Source organism: Homo sapiens, chromosome X (genome assembly GCF_000001405.40).
Source record: "Homo sapiens chromosome X, GRCh38.p14 Primary Assembly".
NCBI classification, from domain to species: Eukaryota; Metazoa; Chordata; class Mammalia; order Primates; family Hominidae; genus Homo; species Homo sapiens.
This window is the reverse complement of record NC_000023.11, coordinates 53,372,128-53,398,645: the sequence shown is the minus strand read 5'-3', so window position 1 is coordinate 53,398,645 and position 26,518 is coordinate 53,372,128. Positions and strand designations below refer to the sequence as shown.

Here is a 26,518-nt window from a genome sequence, read left to right as displayed (position 1 = left end):
AATCCGTGATGTTACTTAAGTATATATAAATATATATACTTAGAACACTTAACCAAATGCTAAGACAAAGTTAAAAATTAAATACTAACAAAATGAGCAAAATTTAGATTGACCATGTAAATTCAGTGCAACAAATGATGATGTTTTGCTGAAACCTAGTCACTTCACAGTGTGACTGTGCTACTGACTGCTACAGCTCAGTTCTTTTGAGTTTAGCATGCCTGTGCCACCATGTATTGTGTGATGACTCAATTTTCTCACACCCTTTCTCTTTAAACTACTATGAAGCCTTTGTTCCTTACAGCATTCCCTCCTGAGGTGATTTGGCCTTCTCTTGGTTTGAACTTATTGTTTGACTTATGTCTGCCTATGTTTGTCGCTTGTTTCTGTGTTTTCATCATTAACCCCTGATGATTAAAGTAGTCCTCTTTAGTGTCTGAAATCTTTTTTTTTTTTTTTTTTGAGACTCAGTTTTGATCTTGTTTCCTAGGCTAGAGTGCAATAGTACTTGGCTCACTGCAGCCTCTGCCTTCCAGGTTCAAGCGATAACTCCTGCCTCTGCCTCCTGAGTAGCTGGAATTACAGGCACCCGCCATCACGCCTGGCTAATTTTTTGTATTTTAGTAGAGATGGGGTTTCACAATGTTCGCCAGGCTGGTCTGGAACTCCTGGCCTCAAGTGATCCGCCCGCCTCTGCCTCCCAAAGTGCTGGGATTACAGGTGTGAGCCACCACGCCCGGCCTGGTGTCTGAAATCTTAAATGCAGTTGTAGCTTGGGCAGTAAAATCCTGAGGCAAGACAAGTTAGATACCTAGATGATTTGGGATATTACATATATGTAATTTTTTTACTTTTTATTTTGAAATAATTTTCAACTTTGCAAAAAATTGCAAGGAATAGTACAAAGAACTCCTATCTACCCATCACCAAGATTCATCGGTCATCAACATGTTGCCGCATTATCTTTTGCATTCTCTCTCTATATATATGCTTATTATTTTTTATGAGCCATTTGGGAGTAAGTTGCAGATATGTCCCCTTTATGTGATTATTATTTTTTTTTTTGAGACAAGGTCTCGCCCTGTCGCCCTGTTTAGAGTGCAGAGGCACGATCTCAGCTGACTGCAACCTCCGCCTCCCAGGCTCAAATGATCCTCCCGCCTCAACCTCTCAAGTAGCTGGGACCACAGGCGTGTGCCACCACACCCAGCTAATTTTTGTATTCTTTGTAGAGACGGGGTTTTGCCTTATTGTCCAGGCTGGTCTCGAACTCCTGGGCTCAAGCAATCTGCCCACCTTGGCTTCCCAAAGTGCTGGAATCACAAGTGTAAGCCACTCCACCAGGCCCCCTTTATGTGACTTAAGATCAAAATGAAAACAAAAATTTTCCTTTGTAAAAATCAGAACATTATACATAAGGCTATAATCCCCTTTGGCTGACCACTCTTCATCCTAGTCCCCTTCGTCTTGCCAGAGGTGATTCTTCCAGACCCTTTAAGGATTTACTTAAATACTTGTACATTTACATATGTGTATTCATAGAAAATGCACAGTATTGTTTGTGTGGGTTTAAAAAAAAAACAACAACAACAAATGTTACCATACTGCACATGACAAAGTTTTGATGTAGAAAAAAATGCTCAAATATAACATTAAGTCAGAATACAGAGTTTTAATTACAGTCTAGTCTCAACTATGTAAAACTGTCTGTAAATCAAATGCTGAAAGAAAATGTGCTAGAATGTTAATTGATTATCTAGCTGATGAGATTGTGAGTGATTCCCCACTTAATACTTTCTCTATACTTTTCTACATATATTAGATAACTTGTAAAATTGGGGTGTGTGGGAGAGGACAACCAAATTTTAAAAAGATAGGAGGCTGAGGGGTGATGGGGGTGTGAAAGCAAAGCTCATTGACGAGTGACTCCAATAAACTGCCTAGTAGGAAGGGTGGGAGCAGGAGAATATCCCAGGGTAAGATGGGGAAAGTCTTCACCTATTGTCCTGTTCCCACTGCTGGGACCAGGAGGAACAAAGACACATGAAGATCATAGATGAGACCATGGCTCAGCTACAAGACCTGAAGAATCAGCATCTGGCCAAGAAGTCGGAAGTGAATGACAAGAATCATGAGATGGAGGAGATTCGTAAGAAACTCGGGGGCGCCAACAAGTGAGTGGGTTCAGGCCTGGGGTGGGAGGACGTAGATAGAGCAGGCAGCCTGCCAGATTTGGGTCTCACCTAGCCCCTGGACCTTTTTTAGGGAAATGACCCATTTACAGAAGGAGGTGACAGCCATTGAGACCAAGCTTGAACAGAAGCGCAGTGACCGTCACAACTTGCTACAGGCCTGTAAGATGCAGGACATTAAGTTGCCACTGTCAAAAGGCACCATGGATGATATTAGTCAGGAAGAGGTGAGTATTGTGGCTGGTGGTGGGAGTGGGCGATGAACATCATTAACCAGGGATGGGGAGTGAAAGTGACCAGGAAGGGCAGTGAGAGAGAGAAAGATGGTGGGCAGATGGTGAAGGGACATGAAAAGGGATGCAGCAGAAATGAGGCAAGGTGCAGTGGTGAAGGCAGGTGAGGCGAAAGGTAATAATGGCTTTGGTGTGAGAGAGAAGTTGAATTGGGAGTAAAGCTGCAAGCCAGTGAGTGGGTGGTGAGAGAGTTGAGCCAGGAAAGAATGAAGTAATTCATTAACCTTAGGGACCTGAGCTATATTAGCTCCAGCAGGTGACAGAAATTGGTAGGAGTGGGAATTGAGGGACATTAGCCAAGAGCAAAGGAAGACAGAAAGCTAGGGGACCTGAGGGTGATAGCTTAGCTGCAGTGAGGAAGATTGGCCAGGAGAGGGTTAGGTAAGGGACATCAGCAATGCAGAGGTGAGGAAGTTTAGTTATAGGAAAACCAGAGATACTAGCCAAAGAGGAGCAGTGGAAGCAAAGATTTGTAGCAAGGGGATGGGAAATGTTAACTGAGAGGAGGTTTGCATATATTAATATCTTGTCTTAGACCTGGTTATATATCTCAGTCCCATGTATCTTTCTCCCTCCTCACTTTCCAAATGGCATTTCAGTTTAATTCAGTAAAATATTTTGAATACCAGAAATGTTCTGGGCATCATGGTAGCATGTGACATAATTACCCCAATCCTAACCACAGACCTGCCAGACAGGCATTATCCCCACATTACAGGTGAAGAGACTCAGGATCTGAGAATGTGACTTGCCCAAAATCACAATGTTAGTAAGTGTAGACCTCAAATTTTTTTTATTTATTTTTATTTTTATTTTTTGAGACAGAGTCTTGTTTTGTCACCCAGGCTGAAGTGCAGTGGCGTGATCTTGGCTCACTGCAGCCTCCGCCTCCCAGTTTCAAGTGATTCTTGTGCCTCAGTCTCCCATGTAGCTGGGATTACAGGCATGCACCACCACTCCTGGCTAATTTTTGTGTTTTTAGTAGAGACAGAGTTTCATTATGTTGGCCAGGCTGGTCTCAAACTCCTGACCTGAAGTGATTCACCTGCCTTGGCCTCCCAAAGTGCTGGGATTATAGGCGCAAGCCACTGCACCTGGCCATAGAGCTCAATTTTGAACTTGAGTCATTCTGCCTGCAAAGCCTCTGTTCCTTCTGCCATGGTGCTTTCTAGCAAGGTGCTTTCTCAAAGATTGAAGGCTGCAAAGGAGCTCCCTATAGAGGTGCACTCTCATGGCCAGTCTGCTCCACTTGACTCTCCGTTGCCATTGCAGGGTAGCTCCCAGGGGGAGGACTCAGTGAGTGGTTCACAGAGAATTTCCAGTATCTATGCACGAGAGGCCCTCATTGAGATTGACTACGGTGATCTGTGTGAGGATCTGAAGGTGAGGATCAACCACAGGGGTGTGGTGGGGGTGGGGGTTGGGTGGGAGTGGGACTATCTTCCTAGTTGTCCAGAGAGGAGGTCAGCCCATCTGGGGGCTCTGTGAAGACCATGGCTGGAAAGAGGGGAAAGCTGGCAAGGGTGGGAGGATTCAGTTGTGAGGCAGGATCTCCACCTCATATATTCAAACAGACATATGCACATTCCCTACCCCATACCCCAAGTTGCCCCTGCCCTTGCCTGCTATCAGTCTTCCCCTTCCATGTGTGTATATAACTAAGCTAAGCCTAGGTCCACACAGAGAAGAGACTTCAGTACAGTGAACAGATTGACCTCAGGTGTTCCTCAGGGCTCTTTCCTCCTCACTTGGCATTCTTTCATCCTGGATATCACTTTACTTCCGTGGCTTCCGCTGCAATCTCTATGCTAGGTCCCACAGGTACCTCAAGCCCTAGCCTTCCTCCCCATATTTACCCATCTCCTCAGTGCCACTCACATGCTCAGCCAGAAATTTGAGCCTCATCCTTGACTTCTCCCTCTTTCACTTTACATAATCAATTAATTACCAAGCACCAAGCCCTATGGATTCTGCCTCCTAAATATCTTTTTTTTTTTTTTTTTTTTTTGAGACGGAGTTTCACTCTTGTTGCCCAGGCTGGAGTGCAGTGGCATGATCTCGACTCACTGCTGCAACCTCTGCCTCCCAGGTTCAAGCGATTCTCCTGCCTCAGCCTCCCAAGTAGCTGAGATTACAGGTGCCCGCCATCATGCCCAGCTAATTTTTAGTAGAGGCGGGGTTCTACCATGTTGGTCAGGCTGGTCTTGAACTCCTGACCTCAGGTGATCTGCCTACCTTGGCCTCCCAAAGTGCTGAGATTACAGGTGTGAGCCACTGTGCCCGGCCCTAAATATCTATTGAATTCTGGTTTTTGTTTCCACTGTCTAATGCAGGCCACTTTCATCTCACATAGCCAACTACAGGAGCCTCCTAAATAGTTTATGATGTGTTTCAATCATCATTATATTCAGGAGGATTTGATTTTTTTAACTTATGGAAAATTTCAAGCATATGGAAGTAAAGAGAATGATAATAATGAACCTCAGGCACTCAGCTTCAACAGTTAAGCAATCTTATTTTTTATACCCCCCATTGGAGTATTTTAAAGAAAACTAGACATTACTCCATCCATAATTACCTCAGCATGTATCTCTAGAATATGAGAACTTTTAAGAAAAACAACCATAATATTATATCTGAAAATATTTAACAATAACTCCACAATATCATCTAATCAGTAAATGTTTAGATTTCCATGAAAGTCCCATAATATTTTTTTATTTTTATTTTTTTTGCAGTTTATGTGTTTAGATCAATATTCCAGTAAGGTCCATATGTTAAAATTGGTCTCTGCTAGTCTATAACATTTTCTTCTTCGTTTTTATTTTATTTTTTTCCTTCGTATTTATCTATGGAAGGAACTGGGTCGTTGGTACTATAGAATTGTCTGCATTCTAGATTTGGCTGATTATGTCCCCTTGATGTTACTGAACATGTTTTTTCTATTCCTTGTATTTCCTATAAACTGGTAGGTAAATCTAGGGTTTGATTGGATTCAAGTTCTTTTTTTGGCAAGAATATATCATAGGTGATGTTGTGTACTTGTGAACTTCCTTCTACATCACATCAGTAGACACCTGATGTCAGTTCTCACTTTCTTTGTAATGTTAACATTGACCAGTGTTCAACATTAGCTATGAAGTATTCTTGCCAAAAAACAAACGTGGATCTGATCAAGCTTCTATATCCAATCCTCCTGAATATGATGATTGAAACACATCATAAACTATTTAGGAGGCTCCTGTAGTTGGCTATGTGAGACGAAAGTGTCCTGCATTAGAGACAGTGGAAACAAAAACCAGAATTCAATAGATATTTAGGGCCGGGCACAGTGGCTCATGCCTGTAATCTCAGCACTTTGGGAACACTATCAGAAACACTGGTGCCAGAGGAATGTTAAAAAAGCACTTGAGGGTCAGGCGCGGTGGCTCACGCCTGTAATCCCAGCACTTTGAGAGGCTGAGGCAGGTGGATCACCTGAAGTCAGGAGTTTGAGACTAGCCTGGCCAACATGGTGAAACCCCGTCTCTACTAAAAATACAAAAATTAGCCGGGCATGGTGGTGCATACCTGTAATCCCAGCTACTCAGAAGGCTGAGGCAGAATCGCCTGAACCCAGGAGGCTGAGGTTGCAGTGAGCTGAGATTGTGCCATTGCACTCCAACCTGGGTGACAAGAGCAAAACTCCGTCTCAAAAAAAAATGCACAGGGATGTAGTTAACCAAATCCAGACTGGGAAATTTGTTTTTTTGTTTTTTGTTTTTTTTTTTTGAGACAGTCTCGCTCTGTCACCCAGGCTGGAGTGCAGTGGCGTGGTCTCGGCTCACTGCAAGCTCTGCCTCCCAGGTTCACTCGATTCTCCTTCCTCAGCCTCCCACGTAGCTGGGACTATGGGCACCTGCCACCACGCCCGGCTAAATTTTTTTGTATTTTTAGTAGAGACGGGGTTTCACCGTGTTATTCAGGATTGTCTCGATCTCCTGACCTCATGATCTGCCCACCTCAGCCTCCCAAAGTGCTGGGATTACAGGCGTGAGCCACTGTGCCCGGCCGTGGAAATTGTTAATATTTTTAAGTGTAATAGTGGTATTACTATTTTTTTTAAGTCCTTATCTTTTATAGGAGTGGTTCTCATTGAGAGGGTAGATATTTTGTTCCCCCAGGGGACATATGACAATGGCTGGAGATACTCTTGTCACGCCTACTTGTCGTAACTGGGGTAGGGGGGTTACTACTGGCATCTAGTGGGTAGACACCAGGGATGCTGCTAAACATCCTACTGTGCTCAGGACAATCCCTACAGCAACGAATTACCTGACCCAAAATGTCAATAGTTCAAGACCCTGTCTCAAAAAATAAAAAAATAAATAAATGTTGGCCAGGTGTGGTGACTCATGCCTGTAATCCCAGCACTTTGGGAGTCCAAGGCAGGAGGATTGCTTGAGCCCAAGAGCTAATTTTTAAAAATTAGCTGGGTGTGATGGCATGTACCTGTAGTCCCAGCTACTCAGGAGGCTGAGGCAGGAAGATCGCTTGATCCTGGGAGGTTGAGGCTGCACTGAACCTAGATCACACCAGTGCGCTGTAGCCTGGGTGACAGGGAGAACCTGTCTCAAAAAAGAAACTTCAATGTTTAGATGTCTTTTATGTTTCAATCTGTTGGAGTCATTTTTCTTCTTCTTCTCTTTTTTTTTTTTTTTTTAACGTGGAGACAAGGTCTCACTGTGTTGCCTAGGATGGTCTCGAACTTCTGGCCTCAAGTGATCCTCCTGTTTCAGCCTCCTGAAGTGTTGGGATTACAGGTGTGAGCCTCTGCACCTGGCCCATTTTTCTTTGTTTTTGTTTGAGACGGAGTCTCACTCTGTCACCCAGGCTGGAGTTCAGGGGCATGATCTCAGCTCACTGCAGCCTCTTGCCTCCTGGGTTCAAGTGATTCTCCTATCTCAGCGTCCTGAGTAGCTGGGATTACAGGCATGCGCCACCATGCCCAGATAATTTTTTTTATTTTTAGTAGAGACGGGGTTCTGCCATGTTGGCCAGGCTGGTCTTGAACTCCTGACCTCATGTGATCCCCCTGCCTTGGCCTCCTAAAGTGCTAGGATTACAGGCATGAGCCACCACACCTGGCCCCATTTTTCTTCTTTTTTTTTTTTTTTCTTTTTCTTTTTTTTTTTTTTTTTTTTTTTTGAGACGGAGTCTGGAGTTCAGTGGCGTGATCTCAGCTCACTGCAAGCTCTGCCTCCCGGGTTCACGTCATTCTCCTGCCTCAAGCTCCCAAGTAGCTGGGACTACAGGCACCCACCATCGCGTCCAGCTAATTTTTTGTATTTTTAGTAGAGACGGGGTTTCATCATGTTAGCCAGGATGGTATCGATCTCCTGACCTCGTAACCCACCCGCCTCAGCCTCCCAAAGTGCTGGGATTACAGGTGTGAGCCACCGCGCCTGGCCCCCATTTTTCTTCTTGATGCTCACATTGTTCATCCTTGGCCAGTGGGAACCACTTCAAGTTTATTTTTTTGTTGTTATTTTTAGATTTTTATTATGGAAAATTTTATATGCAAAAGTAAAATACTACAGTGCTCCCTCATATAGCCATCACCAGTTTTAACAACAGTCAGCTGCTGGCCAAACTTGTTTAATGTGCACCCCCACACAGTTCTTTTTTTTTTTTGAGATAGAGTCTCACACTGTGGCCTGGGCTGGTGTGCAGTGGCACAAGCTTGGCTCACTGCAACCTCTGCCTCCCAGGTTCAAGCGATTCTCTTGCCTCAGCCCCCCAAGTAGCTGGGATTACAGGCGCCCACCACCTCGCCTGGCTAATTTTTTTGTATTTTTATTAGAGACGGGATTTCACTGTGTTGGCCAAGCTGTTCTCGAACTCCTGACCTCGTGATCCGCCCGCCTTGGCCTCCCAAAGTGCTGGGATTACAGGTGTGAGCCATGGGGCCCGGCCCCCCCGCCCCCTGACACTTTATTATCCCTCCCTATCCCTAGGTTATTTTAAAGCAAATTCTGGGCCGGGTGCGGTGGCTCACGCCTGTAATCCCAGCACTGTGGGAGGCCGAGGCAGGCGGATCATGAGGTCAGGAGATTGATCCTGGCTAACACGGTGAAACCCCGTCTCTACTAAAAATACAAAAAATTAGCTGGCCGTGGTGGCACGTGCCTGTAGTCCCAGCTACTTGAGAGGCTGAGGCAGGAGAATCACTTGAACCCAGGAGTCAGAGGTTGCCGTGAGCCAAGATCACGCCATTGCACTCCAGCCTGGGTAACAGAGCAAGACTCCGTCTCAAAAAAAAAAAAAAAAAAAAAAAAAGAAATTCTGGACATCATATTTCATTTGCAAATATTGCAGGATACATCTCTGAAAGAGATAGGAATTCTTAAAAATAATTAGAACCATTACATATCTAAAAATAATTTTTTTTTTTGAGACAGAGTCTCGTACTATCACGGGCTGGTGTGCAGGGGCACAATCTCAGCTCTCTGCAACCTCCGCCTCCCTGGTTCAAGCGATTCTCCTGCCTCAGCCTCCTGAGTAGCTAGGATTACAGGTGCCCGCCACCATGCCCGGCTAATTGTTTGTATTTTTAGTAGAGATGGGGTTTCACTATATTGGCCAGGCTGGTCTTGAACTCCTGACTTTGTGATCCGCCCGCCTCGGCCTCCTGAAGTGTTGGGATTACAGGCGTGAGCCACCACGCTTGGCAGTAATTTCTTAATAATTAGTGTTACACATCCATGATGGTCACACGCAAACACACACTCTACAGCTTACCTGCTTGAATTGGAAGTCAAATAAGATGATTGATCAATAGTTAGTGGATGATTGATAAAGCCATTAATTGATATGTCACTTGAATCTCATTTAACTTATAGGATCCCCCTCCACCTGTTTTTATTTTTCTTTGCACTATTTTTTTGTTGTTGTAGAAATTGACTCATTTCTTCTGAAGGATTGTTCACATTCTATACTTTACTGATTGTGTCCTGCAGTGTTTAAAATGTTCCCTTCACCCCCCCGACCAAAAAAAAAAAAAACAAAAATGGTTCTGCTATCCTCTGTAGTTCTTGTAAGTGGGTAGTTAGATGTAGATCAGTGCTGTTCGGAAGAGGTAAAATGTGATCCACATATGTAATTTTTTTTTTTTTTTTTTTTTTTGAGATGGAGTCTTGCTCTGTCGCCCAGGCTGGAGTGCAGTGGCGCGATCTTGGCTCACTGCAACCTCCGCCCCCCAGGTTCATGCCATTCTCCTGCCTCAGCCTCCCAAGTAACTGGGACTACAGGCGCCCGCCACCACGCCCGGCTAATTTTTTTTGTATTTTTAGTAGACGGGGTTTCACCGTGTTAGCCAGGATGGTCTCGATATCCTGACCTTGTGATCCACCCGCCTCGGCCTCCCAGAGTGCTCGGATTACAGGTGTGAGCCACCGTGCCTGGCCAATTTTCGATTTTCTAGTAGCCACATTTTAAAAATAAAAAGGCAAAGGTGAAATTAATTTTAATACTATATTATGTTTAGCCTAGTGTCCTCAGGAGTATGATTTCAATGTGTGAACTATATAAAAATTATTGATGAGATATTTGATGATCCTTTTTTGTACTGTCTTCAAAATCTAGTATGTATTTTAACACAGCACGTCTCAATTCAGATGCTAAAATTTCCTCAGAAATACTTGATCTGTATTTAGATTTCCTAAAATTTACAATTGAAAAAGGAGACCCACATACCCAAGTTGTTCCAAATATCCATCAAAGTTTTCCAGTAACTGAATTGAATATCAGGTTTTCAATTTAAATGAACTAAAATTTCATAAAATTAAGATTTTATCTCCTCAGTTGCACTAGCCAAATATCACGTGCTAAGTAGCCACATGTGGCTACTGGCAACCGGATTGGACAGCACAGTGGCTTGGTTAGATTCAGATTTTGGGGTTCGCTTGTTTGTTGTGGCTACGGCTCCTTCACAGCTGGTGGTGTTACTTCCATCAGAAGGTACTTAATGTCCATTAGTGGCTCTTTTTGTGTGGTTTGCAGCCATGCTTCTTATTGCATAGATCCATTAATTAGTCAGGGGTTGCAAAATGGTGACCTTACTCTATCATTTCTGTGTTTACTGGCTGGAATACTATAAAGAGAGACTTCCTCTCATCATTTATTTGGTTATTCTGAGATACAGTTTGTATAGGAAAGGCAGGCTATATATGCTTGATTTTTTCCCCCCTTTATCAGTTTATAAAATAAGGAATTGCTTCCTTGGCTTTCTCAAGATTTGTCCACTGAGTTCTCATATCATTATGAATTTAAATATATTTGGTGTCTTTCAGTCTGTTGTGGTTATTATCCTTCTTGGTGCTCAGGTTGTCCCATCTTTGGCCAATGGTGACTCATTCAGTTTGGCTTCTGAATCATTTCAACACAACCCTGGTAGTCTTTGATATCTCCCTTGCTTTCCAATATGTCCAGATTCATCCTCCCCATTTTCCACCCAGACCTGGAATCCACTATTTCTCCAGGAAGCTCTGACTTCCTTTAGTGGGAAATGCTATTATTTAGCAACTACCATCTGGATATTGGAGTGTTCATGATTGCTGAGTTTATTAGTGCTTCTAGAACTTTTCAATAGATTGGGCTATTAAATGCGGTTTTTTTGTTGAAGGAAAAATGCATCATGAGTTCATATTGATACTTTGAATTGAAATTGTAATTTTTAGTTTAACGTCATTGATTTTCTTTTTGAGTCTTCCAGTTATTGTTGCTGAAAATCTCAGTTCCTAGCAACACTAACATAATAACACATTTACTTTATCCTACTCTGTATATACTAGTTTGAAAAATCACAATAAGATATTATTAGTAAAAGGGCCAGGCGCAGTGGCTCACGCCTGTAATCCCAGCACTTTGGGAGGCCGAGGTGGGTGGATCACAAGGTCAGGAGATGGAGACCATCCTGGCTAACATGGTGAAACGCCATCTCTACTAAGAATACAAAAAATTAGCCGGGCGTGGTGGCAGGCGCCTGTAGTCCTAGCTACTCGGGAGGCTGAGGCAGAAGAATGGTGTGAACCTGGGAGGCAGAGGTTGCAGTGAGCTGAGGTCGCACCGCTGCACTCCAGCCTGGGCGACAGAACAAGACTCCGTCTCAAAAAATATATATATTATTAGTAACAATTTGATTATTGAATGTAATTTTAAATAGTTTAAGATTTTCTGAGATTCTTTTTATTATTAAGCTAAGGAAAGCCTCATTGGGAATGTATAGTCATGTTCCTATGTTTTAAAGTAATTTGAAAGAATTATCTGAGTGTCTAACCAGCTTAATATATAGTTAGGTTTCTTTGTTTTAGTTTGTTTTTCATTTTTAGGGATTACTCTTTTTAGCATTTTGATTTTTTTTCCAGCTTTAATTTTGAGATGTTTCAAGCCTATGGAAAACTTGAAAGACTAGAATAGTGAACACTCATATGCCTTTCACCTTAGATTCACCAGTGAATATTTTACCACATTTGCTTTTTCTCTCATCTTTCCCCTGTCTTTCCCCTCCTTCCCTCTTGCCTCCCATTACTTGCAGTTTTTTTGTTTTTGCTGAACCTTTTGAAGGAAGTGTGGTCGTGATACTTCAGCCCTAAATACTTCAGCATACTAAGAGCAAGGGATTGTCTTACCTAATCGTAATTTCATATTATACCTAAGAAAATGAATAATTAGGTTTCATAATATTTAATCTTCAACCCATATTTGAATTTCTCTAGATGTTCTAAAAGTGTCTTTTGTAGTTTTTTTTCTTTTTGAAACTAGTATCCAATCAAAATTTATGAATGTCTTTTATTTATTATGTCTCTTTAGTTTCTTTTAATATGGAGCTATCCCTTTACCTTTTATTCATGGCATTGATCTTTTAAAGAGTCTATGAGAGTTTTCTTGGAAAATGTCCCACATTATGGATATGTTCTTTTTTTTTTACAATATTATTTAACCTGTTCTTCCAACCCTTGTATCTCCTGTAAATTGGAAATTTCATCCAGTCTGGAGGCTCAATGGATTCATGTTAAGTATTTTTTGGCAAGAACATTTCATTGGTGAACTTGATGTGGCATCCCTCCAGGAGGTACATCATGTCAGGATGTACCCACTATTAGTGATACTGAGTTTGATCCCTCAGTTAAAGTGTCAGTTGCTAGGTTTTTCAACGCTAAATGTACACTTTTACCTTTGTCATTAATTAGTAATCTTTAGAGTGATGCTTTGGCATCTTATGAATATCTTGTTCCCCAACAATTTTTTACCCAGTGGTTTTCACATTTTGATTTAATTTTGCTTTAATAGTTATATATAACATCTTTATGTGTTTCTAAAATCAAAAGTATAAAACAAGGTACATGAAGAGAATTCTTGCTTCCATTCCTGTCCCCTTCACCTCTCTTTCTCGATAGATAACCCTTTAATTAGTTTTTGGATTATTCTTTTTCTTGCCGTTATATGTTTAAAATAGAAATATATTTGTATTCCCTCTACCTTCACTTCAATAAAATATAGATACACTATTGTGTAGCTTTCATATTTTACTTAAAAATCTATCCTGGGGCCGGGCGCGGTGGCTCACACCTGTAATCCCAAGCACTTTGGGAGGCCTAGGCGGGCGGATCACGAGGTCAGGAGGTCAAGACCATCCTGGCTAACACGGTGAAACCCCGTCTCTACTAAAAATACAAAAAAAAAATTAGCCGGGCATGGTGGCGGGTTCCTGTAGTCCCAGCTATTCGGGAGGCTGAGGCAGGAGAATGGCGTGAAACTGGGAGGCGGAGGTTGCAGTGAGCCTAGAGCGCGCCACTGCACTCCAGCTTGGGCGACAGAGGAAGACTCCGTCTCAAAAAAAAAAACTTAAAAAAAAAAAAAAAAAACCTATTCTGGAGACCACTCCAAAGTAGTGTATAGAGATCTTCATAAGGGCTTTCTAAAATGTACATAAGTTTATGTCCTTCTTATTCTTGAAATCATTCACTGGTACCTCACCTTTCTCAGGATAAAGTCTAAACCTTATAAGGCCCTTTATAATCTGGCTTCTACTTGTCTATCTAGCATCTTCTCTTTCTGTGCCCTCCAACACACTTGTACGCATGCACATACACACACAATTGCTACTACTGCCATATATATATATATATTTTTTTTAGCTTTCGAAGTTTATTGAAGTTGATTACTCTTTTTTTTTTGAGACAAGGTCTTGCACTGTCATCCAGGTTGGAGTGCAGTGGCACCATCATGGTTCACTGCAGCCTCGATCTCCTGTGCCTAAACAGTCTTCTCACGTTAGCCTCCCAAGGAGCTGGGACCACAGGCATGTGCCACCACGTCTGGCTAATTTTTTTATTTTTGTAGAGACGGAGTCTCCCTATTTTGCCCAGGCTGGTCTCAAATTCCTATTCTCAAGTGATTTTCCTGACAGGCTCCCAAAATGCTGGGATTAAAGGCATGAGCCACCATTCCTGGCTTGCTTTCTCTTTTGAATTATTTTCAGTTTGATGAACGGACCATGAGCAACCTCCCCTGGCTATTTTTTTGTGATGCTCCCAACTGCATAGAAGTCTGTTCCTGGCCGGGCATGGTGGCTCACACTTGTAATCCCAGCACTTAGGGAGGCTGAGATGGGTGGATCAGTTGAGCTCAGGAATTTGAGGCCAACCTGGGCAACATGGTGAAACTCTGTCTCTACAAAAAATACAAAAATTAGCCAGGCATGGTTGTGCGTGTCCGTAGTCCCAGCTACTTGGGAGGCTGAGGTGGGAGGATCACTTGAGCCTGGGAAGTGGAGCTTGCAATGACCAGAGATCATGCCATTGCACTCCAGCTTGGGTAATAGAGCGAGACTCTGTCTCCAAAAAAAAAAAAAAAAGTCTAAAAAGGTCTATTCGTTTTCTCTGTCTTCACTTGTTCATCCTGTAGTCCTTAGCTTAAACATATTCCTGGAAGCCTACCTTAATTTTTATCACCCGATGAGGTAACCATCCAGAACACCTCAATGCAGGCACATATTCTATACACTAGTGGGATCCCTCCCTCTACTTATTATACTTATTTATACCCAAAATACCCTAGGCTCACTAAATATAATAGTACTAACATTCACCACTCAAGAACTATCAATCTCCTGATCTCTGAGTTAGGAGTCTGAGTCCTCCTGAGTCTGAGTTAGGTGTCTTTCTTGTGTGCTAAGTCAACACTGCCTGCTTATCATTGTTTTCACATTCATCCTACAGTATTCTGGTTGTTTACTTATGTGCATTCCTCTGTTAGACCCCTGAGCTCTGTGAGCACAGAAACCAGGGCTCACAGGACAGGATGGCCCCAGTGTCTGGCACTTGGTAGGCATTCAATAAATATTTATTGACTGAAAGTGGCAGAAAGGCACAAGCCCAGACATGCATTGCAATATCCATAAGAACTAAAACTAAACTCTAATGGAATTTGCTCAAATGTAGTGATCTAAGCAGAAAACGTGAATTGCCTTACTTATTGTGGAGCTGTAAGTGGAGTCCAAAGCGGCCAGTGTGGGAGCCTCCAGGTCACCCTGGGTTGGTACTGGCTCATGGCCTGGGCTGAGAGCCAGAGAGGGGCACCACCAGCTGCTCCTCCTGAGAGACAAAGCGGTTGGCAGGGCCTGGGGGAAGGGCTAGAGATTAGAAAGCAGCTAGAGATTAGAAAGCAGCCTCAGCCTATAATTTCCAGAGATGGTGGGAATGGTTACTATGGGTAGGATCTGGTGGAAGGAACCGAGCTGGAGAAGAAGAACCTGCCCTCCGTATAGGAGCAGGCGCCCAGGCCACACTCAGTCAGTCATCTTTCGGTGGGGGCCTTGGCACAGGGGCCAGGCCCTTCTTGACATTGCTGGGCCTGGGGCTTACAGGATGCCCAGGCTGAGGAAGAGATCAAGCAAGAGATGAACACACTGCAGCAGAAGCTGAATGAGCAGCAGAGTGTGCTTCAGCGTATTGCCGCCCCCAACATGAAGGCCATGGAAAAGCTGGAAAGTGTCCGAGACAAGTTCCAGGAGACCTCAGATGGTAAGATTTACCCTTCTACTTGGGCCTACGATGAGGACAAGAGGCTAAGGGTATGCCACGGGCCTGCTATACATCACAGCAGTTCCTGTTCTGACATGTTTTCTTACTTAAAACTCTCAGGAGCCCTAAACAGTAGGGGTTATTACACCTGCTTTATAGAACGGAAAATTGCTGAGGTTCCCGGAGAGTAAATGACCTGTTCAAGGTCACACAGCTGGTTGCTGGTAGAACACAGGGAGGAATCCATATTTGTGTGGCTCCAGGCCCCTGTTTCTTGCTCTGCATTGTATCCAGTGGCCAGTCCACTGGATACAGATCCTTCTGGGACCCTCCTCAGGCATTCCTCTCTCTCAGTGGGATGTTCCTGCTCTGGATTGTCATTTGCAGGTCCTTCTTGCCAGGGCACTGAGGGGTCTCCTGTCTTTCTTTCTGGCAGAGTTTGAAGCAGCCCGAAAGCGAGCAAAGAAGGCCAAGCAGGCATTCGAACAGATCAAGAAGGAGCGCTTTGACCGCTTCAATGCTTGTTTTGAATCTGTGGCTACCAACATTGATGAGATCTATAAGGCCCTGTCCCGCAATAGCAGTGCCCAGGTAGGCTGGAGCCCCTTACCCAACCAGCTGCTACCATCCTCAGTTGTCCTTCCCTCTAGGCTTCCTGTCCCTATCTCCATCCAGTCTCAGATACAGATCCTGACCCATCTGCCTTCCCCTAGGCATTCCTGGGCCCTGAGAACCCTGAAGAGCCCTACTTGGATGGCATCAACTACAACTGTGTGGCTCCTGGGAAACGCTTCCGGCCTATGGACAACTTGTCAGGCGGGGAGAAGACAGTGGCAGCTCTGGCCCTGCTCTTTGCCATCCACAGGTAAGGCTGATCCCCTAGGGCAGTTGACGAAGAGACTGAACTGAGGCCACCAGAGGCTCTGGGGCCCAAGGATACACAGAGATCTGCGAAGGTGATGGTTTGGTGGAATCTGGATTGCATCCCTGTTTCACTATCTACTGCAGCATATCTGGCTTTGGTTTTTCTGGACCTGTCTTCCCCATCCACCCTCATCTGCTCAGCATGTCCTCACCGGCCTCTGCATGTATTTAGTTCCGCCTCCAGGCTTTTGCTCACGAGGTTGCTGGCTAATAATCCCTTTCCATGTAAATCTAGCTTGATCATCACCTTTCACCCCTTCACCCTTCCTCATTCTCCTCCCCTTTAGGAAGCCCTCCTTGATCACTGTGGCATACCCTGACCTTCCCCTCCTGAATGCCAGTAGTACTTGAGTCTGACTCCCGCAGCTTATATTGCTTGATTGTACAGCATCAATTTCTTGAGTGCTGCTCTGTACCAGACCCTGCGGAGGGATTAGGGACACAGATGTATCAGACAGGGTCTCTGGCCTCGAGGAGCTCACAGTCTAGTAGAAGCCAGATGCATAAACAGACATGTGCTAAGTGTTGTAACCGGGTGAGCATGGGTGCGATGGATACACAGAGGAGGTACACTTAACCCAGTCTGTGGGGAGGGTATGGGTAGGCCAGGGAAGACTTTTAATGACAGGTGCCACTTGAGCAGGAGATGTAAAGGATGAGTAGAAGTGTGCCAGGTAGACCAGCAGGCATTCTAGGCTGAGGGTGCAGCATGTGCAGAGGCAAGGAGGCATGACAAAGCATGCTGTGATGGCATGTGTTGGAATGGGGTGGACCTCTAGGTAGCTCGGTCATTACAACTAGAACCTTGGACAGCTTTAGCTCCCCAGCCAGCCTGGAAGCTCCTGAGGGGACCATGTCTTCTTGTGGTTCTGTAGGAACCTGGAACACAGGGCTGATTGCAGAGGGGAGGGCTTTGTTGATGTCTTGGCTTTCAGGGGCTCAGGCAACTTTGAGACCTGGGTTTTTTAGTTTCTGAAGAAGTGGAGTGGGAAGCTGGCCTGTTTGATGGGCCCTGGGGCTGTCCCACCCCGCCTTGCCACCCCCTCCCCGCCTCAGTGTCAGCTCACCTACTGGTTCCCTCCCAGCTACAAGCCAGCCCCCTTCTTCGTCCTGGATGAGATTGATGCTGCCTTGGATAACACCAACATTGGCAAGGTGGGTGCAAAGAAAGTGGGGCCTGGGAGGGATGCCCCCAGGTCGGGGTTGGGTTTCAGGGAGCAACTCCTGAGCGTGCCCTAGCCGTTCCTGCTGCCTGCTCTCTGTGCCTGGGAGGCTGGGCCCAGAGTCATCCATGCTGTGGTAGTCAGTAGTCTCCTCTCAACCTCTCTTTTCCCCACCTTCCTCTCCCTACCCTACCTCTTCTGCCTTCTGGTTGTGGCTGGAAAATACTGGGGACTGTTAAGGTTTGAGCCTTGCTAAGTGCCTGGCGGCCTTTCCCACAGGTGGCAAATTACATCAAGGAGCAGTCGACTTGCAACTTCCAGGCCATCGTCATCTCTCTCAAGGAGGAGTTCTACACCAAGGCCGAGAGCCTCATTGGAGTCTATCCTGAGGTAGGGCGGGCCTGGCTCAGGAGCCAGTCCTACTCCCTGCCTGATTTCCCAGGGCAGGAAAGGAAGGCTGCAGTGGAGGGGAAAGGAGGTGGGGGAGCATAGGGAATCAGGTCCTGAATGGCCATTTGGGCTTGTTGGAGCCCTGCCTCTGGAGGCTTAGCCAGCCCAGCCAGGCAGGGCCATTGCATTTGGGGACAGGTGGAAAGGCAGGCAGAGGCAGCCAGACAGTGGAGAAAGGAGGAGAGTACAGAAGTAGGCAAGGAGCGAAGGCACATGGGACTGAGCATATCCTCTCACACCCAGAGAGAACCATTGACTGGGCTTTGGGCAGGTATGTAGGGAGGAGGGTTTGAGGCCCCTGGTCCTGGGGCACTAGACCCCTCTTAATTCTCTCCTTACAATTTTATTTTTCTTTTTCTCCCTCCTCCTTCAGCAAGGGGACTGTGTGATCAGCAAAGTCCTGACCTTCGACCTCACCAAGTACCCAGATGCCAACCCCAACCCCAATGAGCAGTAGCAGTATTTTTGCCCTCCCGCCCTGTCTGGATCCCTAAGCTGTCCCTCTCCCAATCTCTGGATATTTGACTCCCAACCTTCCCCCTACCTCCTGGCCCTTTTTGGTGTAGTCATGGGATTTAGGCACTGCTAATCAAGCATGAAGAGGAACAGAGGTGATGTTAGGTCTGGAGCAAAAATTCCTGAACGACAGGGAGTATTCTGGCCTCTGAAAGGAGGTGCTGAGCTGAACAGGGCCATCTGTTCATCACACACACCCCCTTCCTCCCCCTCATCACCCATAATCGTGGGCCCCTTGGGCCTCTTGCCCACTGTGTGTGTGGGTATGTATGTGTGTATGTATGTATCCGCATGTGTGCATGTGAGTATGTTTGCAAAATAATAAAGGATATTGGAGACCTGTTTTAGAAGGAGCCTAGGCTGAATTTGATTCCAAGAGAGCTTAGGATGACAGCACCCCTGAGCTGGGCAAAGGTACTCAGGACCTCATAGGAGTCTTAGGCAGTTACCTGAAACTGCCTTCATTCACTCATTTGTGTATTCATTCATTTATGTATTCATCAGACACATACCGAACACCCTCTATTTGTCAGGCTCTGTGCTTGGAATACAGAGTTGAATCAGACATGATCTCTACCCTCCTAGTAAGGAGATACAGTGGGTTCATGAATGACTATAGTTAGCTGAATGTCATATGTACTTTGAATTTGAGAAGTGGGTGATCCCCTCTAGGCTTCCTGGAGGTCACATTTAAGCTAGACCTTGACAAATTGGTAGGATTTGGTCAGGCACTAGGAGTGGAGCATGAGCTCTGGGGACAGACAGTTATGGGTTCTGGTCCCACTTTTTATCACTTACTAGTTGTTTGACCTTGGGCAAGTCATTTGACCTTCTGTGCCTCAGTTTCCTCATCTGTAAAATGGGGCTAACAATATTACCTACCTCATAGGATTTAATGATGTCAAGCTCCTCACTGGAGGCCTTATCCCTTCGTGGAGCCCACTAGGTGCCGACCCCTCAGAATATAACCCTCATGCCTGGACCCCTGAGAGCTTCTGATCCCAGCTATTAGGGACAGAAGAAGCCTCCAAATCTGGAAGGTGCTGAATGCCCTGCTGACTGGGAAAGTTTCAGGGCACTGATGGGGTCTACCTGGTAAGCGGAGGGCCTGAGGAAACCTGTAGCTTCAATCATGTCTGGTAACCGGGTGCCTGAGCCCCAATCTGGGTTGTGAGGAAATAGGGGAGAGGTATCCTGGGCCACATCCCAGCCTAACACCTGTGAGGTTCATTTTAGGAACTAACCTCATTAGCTATAAGGATCATGCAGAGGCAGCAAAGCCGGGTGCGATGAGCTCAGCCTTTACTCATTCACATACACCATCACACTTTAATTCCAATCTGTATATTGCTTTTTAAAAGTTAAGTCCATTCTAATTACCCAAATATGCATGAATTCATTCTCCTTTTGAGAAGTTAGATTGTTAAAGATAGTCTCATTCAGCTACCAACCACTCCTTGATCCTTCCCTTCTTAGTGGCTGTTGTTTGTTGTACTTCCGTTTAGACTTTGTTTTAATGCTTGTACGTACATATGTGAACTCATTGGAAATATTGTGTGTTTAATGCAAATGATATATTGAATTGTTTAGCAATTTGTTTTCTTTGCTTAACGATGTTTTTGAGATCTGTGCATGTTACTTAATGTAGCTCAATCCATCTTCTGTAATTGCTGTATAGATTGTCATCATATGATTACCACATTTTACTTACGCATTTCTTTTGTGATGGACATTAAGACTGTTTTTAGGTTTTGCTATTACAAAATACTACACAGGAGCATCACTATGCCTGTGTGAAAGTATATGTATGAAAGTTTACCTAGGGTTGATTCCTAGAAGTGGAATTGCAAAGTCATAGGATATTTATATATTGGTTTTTAATAATACTTCCAAATTGCCCTCCTGTACTATTTACTCAGTATTTTTCTTGAGGTTGATCTGAGGTCTAACATTGTTATCCTATATCATTTTCATCCCAAGTAGTGATATCTGTGAAATCACAGGTTTGATGTGTGCTAATTATGTATTCTTCTAATACATATTAAAAGACATAACTATCAAAACAAAATAAATTTGTCTGTTTTCAACCAAAGAAGTCACGTACCACTGGTGGTACTGTGTGCCATAATTTGGCAAATGCTGGCCTTTATGGACGAGCACAATTCGGGGGTCAGACCTGGTTCAAATTCTAGCTGTAGAAACTTGTGCAAGTTACTTCACCTCTGAGCCTAAGTTTCCACATCTGTAAAAGGAGATAATAAACACCTACCTTGCAGTAGTGAAGCAAAGAGAAAATTAAATATATATGAAGCAATTTGGCTGGCATCTAGATCATTCACAGCCCTTTAAAGGTCACCTTTGCTGTTCTCCCCACTTTACAGATAAGGAAACTGAGGCCCAAAAAGGTTTGAACCCAGGTCTTCCAAGTCATTCAAGTGCTTTCTCCACTGTACAGGTGGTTATCAACCTTGGCTGCGCATCAGAATCGTTTGTAAAGCTTTTTCTTTTTCCTTTTTAAAAAGTAAAGCAATATATACACAGGTAAAAAAATAAAATAGTACAGAAGGGCTTATAATGAGAAGCAGCAGTTCCCTGCTTGCACCCCCACATCCAAAGGATGTGGAGCTCTTTAAAAATAAATTGCTCTGGTCCCACCTCTGGAAATCTGATTCAGCCAGCATGGATAATAACCCAGATAACTAACCCCTACCTCACAGGATAAAAAGGATTACATGAGATGCCTTAGGCTAAGGCCCTGGCACACAGGAACACATGTGCTACAAAGGAGCTTTGGGGACTTAAGTCCTGAGGATCCAGGAGGTGAGGTGACTTGTCCAAGATTCCACTGGTTTAGTGGCAGAGCCTAGACTTCCACTCGGATCTATTTAGTGCTTGCCCCCTGCTCTCTCCTGTCGTGCCCCACCACCTCCTGGCATCACAGGGCAACCGTTGTCAAGGCTATGCTCACGGGAGGCTGGGCACCACAGTGTTTCCAAGAGCAAGCTGGATCCGAGTAGATTCCCTAGGGCTTGTTGGAGGAACTAGTTTGACTCCCTTATACTGTGGACGCAGTAGCCTTGCTGTAGGGAGTTGAAGAGTACTCCACAACAGTATCTTAAGTTTAACTGGGCACTTCCCTCTGGAAATCACAGTGTTGTGCACCAGGAACACAAAGATGAGTCAAATCTTTATCCTGCCTTTGAGGAGCTCACTGTTTAGTTGGGGAAACCATTTGTAAAACAGCCATTAACCATACAGTGTGATCAACACTGACAGGAGCACAGGAAAAACATCTAGCTTATGTGAAGATTCAGAGAAGGCATCCTGTAGTCTAGGTGGTGATACCTGAACTGAGTCTTGAGGGACGGGTAGGAATTAGCCAGTTGAGGAAGTAGAAGGAATTTCCAGATATTGGAAACAGTATGCATGAAGACATGAAGGCAAGAAACAGCAAAACAAATACTGAAGCATGAAGATTCCTGGGGTGGGGGGAAAGCAGCAAGAAAAGGTAGAGAGGAACCAGATTGGAAGAGGGTCGTAAATGCATGGCTACAGAATTCAGATTTGTTTTGTAGGACAGTGTGGTTCCCAAACTGGCTGTATACCACAAACAGGTACGGCATTCTGGGCCCCGGCCCCTAAAACATTCATTAAGTCTGGGGTGAAGATTTGGAATCTTGAATGCTTATAAAGGTTACCACATGACTAGGGTACAGCCAGATTTGGAAACCATAGCTTGAAGGCAGTGAGGGAGCCATGAAATGGTTTTTAATAGGGGGACTCCAGATCAGATGTGAACTTAACCTGTTTCTGGCTGGCTAGCCAACCAGCATGGAAAACAGATTAGGTTAGATGTTCATGCTGTATGTGCCCGTGCCTGTAGCTTCCCTGTTAATCAGCTTCTTACACTACTATATTTGCTTATTTTGTCTCTGAATAAGCTTTAGGCACCACAAGGGTGGGCCTGGGGATATTTTGCTTACCAGTATAGCCCCTGCAAAAAAGCACAGTGCCTGACACAAAACAGGCACCCAGTAAAGTTTTTGAATGAATGAATGCATGAGTGAATCCATTTGTGAGAGAGCGAATGGAGATGACAAGATTAGCTAGGAGACTGGAAAAAGACCAGGAGGCCTGCACTAGGGCAAAGGCCAGTAGGAATAGATTGGAGGTGTTAAGGTGTGAACTGTTAAGGTAAGATGATAACTTAATGACTGATTATTGGATGTGGAGGGTGACTGAGAGGATAGAATGAGTACCCATGAATAGCCATGATTCCTACCCTGTCCCAGTCATCTCTTTCCTTATCCATCTCTGAAACAATCTGCTTACATCCTCCTCAGCAACTGGAATTCCTCAAGTTAGTTAGACATTCTGTGTGCTGTGTGGTCTCTCACTGCCCCCCCACTCCCCACCCCTCCACAAGCCATTGATTCATTCATCCAGTTCAATAAATCTTGGCTAAGCACCTCCAGTGTGCAGTAAGGCTCTTCCAAGCCAGGACTCTGACTCCCTCTTTCCTACCTCAAGAGATGTTTTTGAGGGCTTTCCCAGGTAAGAGTCACATCTCTTATACAATAACTTATAGTGAGATACCCAGAATGTCAGACTTGTAAGGGAAGACTGCCCAAACCCCTTCTGAGGTCCTCAGAGGGGAATTAACTTCCTAAGGTCCGACTGCTAGGAAGTGTTGGAGCCAGAAATGGAAGCTAGGTTTCCTTTCTATGTCATCTCTGGAGTCTTGATCTTGATCTATCCCATTGTAGATCAGGACAGGCAGAGGTGGTCAGGGAGAAGGTGGGACTTAGGTTGAACCTTGAAGGTCAATGTATTGGACAGGTCAAACAAGATGGTTGCCAATTACACTGCCCCCTTCTGGAAACCCTTAGCAAACCTGCCATGCTTGCAGTCCCTTCTAAGGGGTTTCCTTAGCATAAGTTGCCATGCTCTGTACCATGTGACCTCACAATCCTGGCCACAGATAGCTAGATGTGGATAGTGTCTGGTTCAAGGGCAACCAATCTCTAGGCTGGCCAGTGGCCTGTTAGCTGGACTGGCATAAGGACTTCACCTTACAGGGGTGGCATGTATCAAATGGCAAATGTATGAAACAACCAGATCTTTCAGGGAGGCAGAATGTGAGCTATTCAGAAGAAGTGAACGTTAATTAGAATTTAATGAGGCATTAGTGGTGGTGGATGAGGGGTGGCCAGAAACTAAACAGCAAAAGCAAAGAGAAAGCTGCAGAAACCATAAGTAAGCAGAGGTCATGAGACATTTGTATAATGAGATCACGGAGCCACAGGGTGGCAGAAGCCATGAAGCAGCAAGGCAACAATGGGCTAGAAGCCATGAAGCAATAGGAGCCACGAGGAACAGAAACCGTGAGACAAAACTGACTATGAGATCCACAAAGCAGCAGAAGGCTTGAATAGATAAGATCATGAGACAGTAGAAGCGATGAGACTGCAAGAACCACAAGGTAGCCAGAACCATGTGGCAACATGGCAACAGGAATGGAAGAGGCAGCAGGAGCTACAATGCAGAAAAGCCATGGATTAATAGGAACTGAAGCGCCGGGAGCCATGAAGCTGCAGGACCCATGAGGCAGAAAAAGCCATGGGCTAGCATCGAGGGGGGCAGAAAGAAGTTAGTCAGTAGCAGTAGGAGGAGTATAAATACAGCCAGAAAGGAGTTGAGTCACCAATTTGGGAAGCACTAGAGAAGGGAGCAACAGATGCCTGCAGCTGAGGGGGTGACAAGATAAGCCAGGCTCTAGAGCTGCTTTGGATCATGAACCATTTTCAAGTTTCTGTTCTTCCATGAGGCTGCCTGTGTAGCTGTTCTTGTCTTCCTTATTTCCCTGTGAATGCTTTAATAAATCCCCATCACTAACCTGTGTGTGTCTTTGTTCCTTGGAATCTAAAAGGTTAACACTGGTGTGCAGTTTAGATAACAGGAAAGCAGGGCAAGAGGTCTTCCTGGTGGGGTTGAAGCAAGACACAGAGGTGGGAATTCACTCATCCTTTCCTGCCTCACTGGCATGGGCACCTTTCATTCACTTACTTATTTTTATCATTCATTCATCCACTCATTTATTTATTACCTTATATATGCACTAACTCACAACTTCACTCACTTATTCATTAATGCATTAATGTAAGCATTTACCAGTTCATTTGCTCTTTCCTGTATTCACTCATGCATCATTTTTCCATCCATTTGTTCAGCAGGCATATGTTAAATTCCTGTCATGTGTCAGGCCCTGTGCTAGGTTCTGGGAATTAGATATACATGCCCTCCAGGAATTCTTGGCTTAATTGGGAACTCAGATAAGTAAGTGGTTAAGCACACTAAGTGTGGAAGATGATATAATGGACGTCTAGGTGAGGCAAAGTGAGCATATAGGAAGTATTAGGTGGTTCTCCCTGGGGTGGGAAAGCCTTTATAGAGGATGGTACACTTGAACTGAGTCTTGAAAGAGGAATGAGTGCTTACCACTTGGAAAGGGAGGAAAAAACATTCCAAGCAGAGGAGCTGCCTAAGCACAGTTAAATCAAGAGGGTGAAAGTGCATGGATTTCAGGGGGAATGGGGCATCACCCATGCAGTGAGAGAAGTGGTGGAATCCAAGCAGTCAAGCTTAGCTTTGACTCTGAGCAATGGGAAGCTGTAGAAAGGTTTGAAGCAAGGGACTAACCGGGCCAGATTGGTATTTAGGAGGACCACTCTGGTAGCTGGGGTGAAAGAAGGTTGGGGGCATGAAACACTGACCTAAAGAATGTACTTCAGGCTGGGTGCGGTGGCCCACGCCTGTAATCCCAACATTTTGGGAGGCCAAGGCGGGAGGATCACCTGAGGTCAGGAGTTTGAGACCAGTCTGGCCAACGTACTGAAACCCCATCTCTACTAAAAATACAAAAATTAGGCCAGGCGCGGTGGCTCACGCCTGTAATCCCAGCACTTTGGGAGGCTGAGGTGGGTGGATCACCTGACGTCTGGAGTTCGAGACCAGCGTGGACAGCATGGTGAAACCCCATCTCTACTAAAAATACAAAAATTAGCTGGGTGTGGTGGAAGGCGCCTGTAATCCCAGCTACTTGGGAGGCTGAGGCAGGAGAACCGCTTGAACCCGAGAGGCAGAGGTTGCAGAGAACCAAGATTGCGCCATTGCACTCCAGCCTGGGGGACAAGAGTGAGACTTCGTCTCAAAAAAACAAACAAAAATTAGCCGGGTGTGGTGGCGTGCGCCTGTAATCCTAGCTACTCGGGAGGCTGAGGTGGGAGAATTGCTTGAACCCAGCACTCCATCCTGGACAACAGAGTAAGACTCCATCTCAAAAAAAAAAAAAAAAAAACAGTACTTGAAAAAAGTACATTTGCCAGGCGCAGTGGCTCACCCTATAATCCCAGCACTTTGGGAGGCCAGGGCGGGTGGATCACCTGAGGTCAAGAGTTCGAGACCAGCCTGGCCAACATGGCGAAACTCTGTCTCTACTAAAAATACAAAAATTAGCCGGGCATGGTACCGCATGCCTGTAATCCCAGTTATTAGGGAGGCTGAGGCAGAAGACTTGCTTGAGCCCAGGGGGCGGAGGTTGCCGTGAGCCAAGATCACGCCACTGCACTCCAGCCTGGGCGACAGAGCAAGGCTCCATCTCAAAAAAAAAAAAAAAAAAAAAGTACATTTAATTGTCATAATCAGAGGCATAAATGAAGACTCGTAGGAACCCCCAAGGGGAGAGAGAGTTCTACCAGGGGACAAGGAAGACTTTTGGAGGAGGTGGAATTTGAGGTGAGCCTTTTTAAAAGGGAGGATTCCAACTGGTGGAGATAAGGAGGAAAGGCTTTCCAGGCCTGGGGGACATAAAAACAAGAAGGTGGGAATAAATATGCCCTGTTTGGGCTAACAAATAT

At 44.9% G+C, this 26,518-nt stretch overlaps 1 protein-coding gene across 2 annotated transcripts in view; it reads left to right on the top strand.

The window, feature by feature from the left end:
* Window positions 1-24,497, top strand: part of SMC1A (structural maintenance of chromosomes 1A) — a 48,580-nt gene extending 24,083 nt beyond the window's left edge. For both annotated transcript variants that reach the window (NM_001281463.1, NM_006306.4), the window contains 9 exons: window positions 2,029-2,174; window positions 2,266-2,419; window positions 3,758-3,868; window positions 15,393-15,549; window positions 15,986-16,140; window positions 16,263-16,414; window positions 17,559-17,628; window positions 17,916-18,026; window positions 18,460-24,497. In NM_001281463.1, the coding sequence (NP_001268392.1) occupies window positions 2,029-2,174; window positions 2,266-2,419; window positions 3,758-3,868; window positions 15,393-15,549; window positions 15,986-16,140; window positions 16,263-16,414; window positions 17,559-17,628; window positions 17,916-18,026; window positions 18,460-18,543 (1,140 nt within the window). In that variant the 3' untranslated portion in view covers window positions 18,544-24,497. The remainder of the gene's footprint in view (window positions 1-2,028; window positions 2,175-2,265; window positions 2,420-3,757; window positions 3,869-15,392; window positions 15,550-15,985; window positions 16,141-16,262; window positions 16,415-17,558; window positions 17,629-17,915; window positions 18,027-18,459) is intronic.